This window comes from Homo sapiens, chromosome 5 (genome assembly GCF_000001405.40).
Source record: "Homo sapiens chromosome 5, GRCh38.p14 Primary Assembly".
NCBI classification, from domain to species: Eukaryota; Metazoa; Chordata; class Mammalia; order Primates; family Hominidae; genus Homo; species Homo sapiens.
The window spans coordinates 6506393-6508560 of NC_000005.10; the positions used below are offsets into that span (position 1 = coordinate 6506393).

General features: G+C 55.1%; 1 annotated feature.

Moving 5' to 3' along the window:
* Positions 491 to 700: an enhancer, noted in NCBI's record as "active region_22334". NCBI's record gives its function as "activates an Ori minimal core promoter by ATAC-STARR-seq in GM12878 lymphoblastoid cells {active_cell/tissue: GM12878}" and the evidence as "EXISTENCE:reporter gene assay evidence [ECO:0000049][PMID:35858748]".

Here is a 2168-nt window from a genome sequence, read left to right on the forward strand (position 1 = left end):
TGACAGAATTCACACAGAATGGCCCAAATTGCCCACTTGAGCTTCCTCGAATTCTATTTCTGTGGATTCTTTTTTTTCCCCATTTTAGTAGGGAAAAACACTTTATATTTCCTGTACATTTTTACTTAAAAGGAATCAAAGGTAAAGGGAGCAGTGAGAAAGCAGAAATGAAAAGGAAATCTGTGGTCAGGAGGCTCCAAGAGACTGTGTGAGTTGAAGGGGGCCATCTAAGATATTTAAGGGGCTGCCGCAATGTCAGGCGGACCATAGAGCGGGAGGGATGGGGGATCACCTGACTCTACCCCGGGGCTGGCATGGGTGAGAGGAGGGGGCAAGAGAAGAAAGGAGGCGGGTTGTTCTGAGCTCATCAGCCGCCTCTGCGGCGGCCCCGTGTGTGCACCCTGCAGCACGTGGGCCTCGAAGGACGTGCAAGTTAACCCAGTTAGGTCTCCTGAAAGTCCCTTAGCACTGACTCGGGGCCAGCCTGGGGACCACAGGTCACGCACCCCTTTCATCAGACAGGAGTTTTCAGGCCAGGTGCCCTTCTCCGGTGACCAAAGAGCAGAATTCTCAGTGGTGAGGACGCATCTGCACAGCCCAGCCCAGCCCAGGCCAGCAGACCATAAAAGGCCCAAGACCTGCCACAGGTGAGACCAGCAGGGGTGAGAAAAACATAGGCCTGGCCCGGTGCGACTGGCAGACTCATGGCCTCTGAGGACATCCTAGCAGACGTCTTCCCCAGGACCTGTGCCTATGTCACCTCCAGTGGCAAAGCGGACTTTGCAGGGGTGATGAAGTGAAGGCTTTGCAGGGGTTGCCCTGCATTGTCCAGGTGGGCCCAGTGTCAGCCCAAGGGTCCTATCAGAGCAGAGAAAGAGGGTCAGAGTCAGAGGAGACGTCACGACAGAAGGCAGGAGTTGGAGTGATGTGAGGAAGAAGCCAGGAGTCATGGTACACAGTAGCCTTTAGAAGAACCAGATTCTCCCCTGGAGCCCCCACACGGAGCCGGCCCTGCTGACAGCTTGACTTTGGGATTTCTGACTTCCTACATGGTAAGACAACAAGTGTGTGTGCTTTCAGCCACTATGTTTGTGGTGTTTTGTGATGGTAGTGACAGGAAACCAACACACCTGAGCCTCGAGGTGAGCTACCTGAGCTGCAGGTCTGATGTAGTTTGGATGCCCCCTCCAACTCTCATATTGAATTGTAACCTCCAGTGTTGAAGGAGGGGCCTGGTGGGAGGGGTTTGGGTCATGGCGGGCAGATCCCTGGTGGCTTGGTGCCGTCCTGATGACAGTGAGTGAGTTCTCAAGAGAGCCAGCTGTTGGGAAGGGTGGCACCAACTCTCCCTTGCTCCCACTCTGTCATGTAACGTGCAAGCTTCCCCTTCTGCCATGATCGGAAGCTTCCTGAGGCCTCCCCAGAGGCAGATGCCAGCACTATGCTTCCTGTACAGCCTGCAGAATCGTGAGCCAATTAAACCTCTTTTCTTATAAATTATCCAGTCTCCAGTATTTCTTATAGCAATGTGAGAGCAGCCTGACCCAAGGTCCCTGCAGGTGACCTTGGGGCCTCGACACTCACAGGACATTGAAAATCCCAGGGCCGGGCTGTTCCCATGCTTATCACATCGGACTGTCATCCAGCCAGGGCCACAGGGAGTGGGGCTCTGAAGGTGAGAATGATTCCGGGGGTTTAACGAAGAAACTTTGACAAGGGTGGCTGGGGGCGTAGGGTCCCCAGGGGACAGTACGGTCACCTGAGTCTAGAAGCACCTGACCTGTGAGCACCCCAGGCCTAAAGAATAAGGGGAGAGCATGCCCCCCAACCCCGGAAGGGTAGAGAGAGCTACCTTGGGGGTCAGTGACCTCTGTTCGAGGTGCCCCAGCACCTGATGAACTCTGGGGACAAAATAAACGAAGCCCCCATGTTCCCTGGTAGAAGTTGCAGCTCCTGGGAGAGAGAAGTCCCAGTGAAGGAAAGAGACGCACAGACAAGGGCAGATTCGCATGAGCTCTGTGAGCCGGGGAGCAGCTCGGGGGCCTCGGCTCCTGTAGAAGCAAGTGCGGTTGGGGAGCAGCTTCTGACCTTTGGGTTGCCATGGCCAGGTCAGGGAGTATCCCAGGCAGCAGAGCAGCTTCAGCAAAGGTGACAGAGGCAAGAAATGG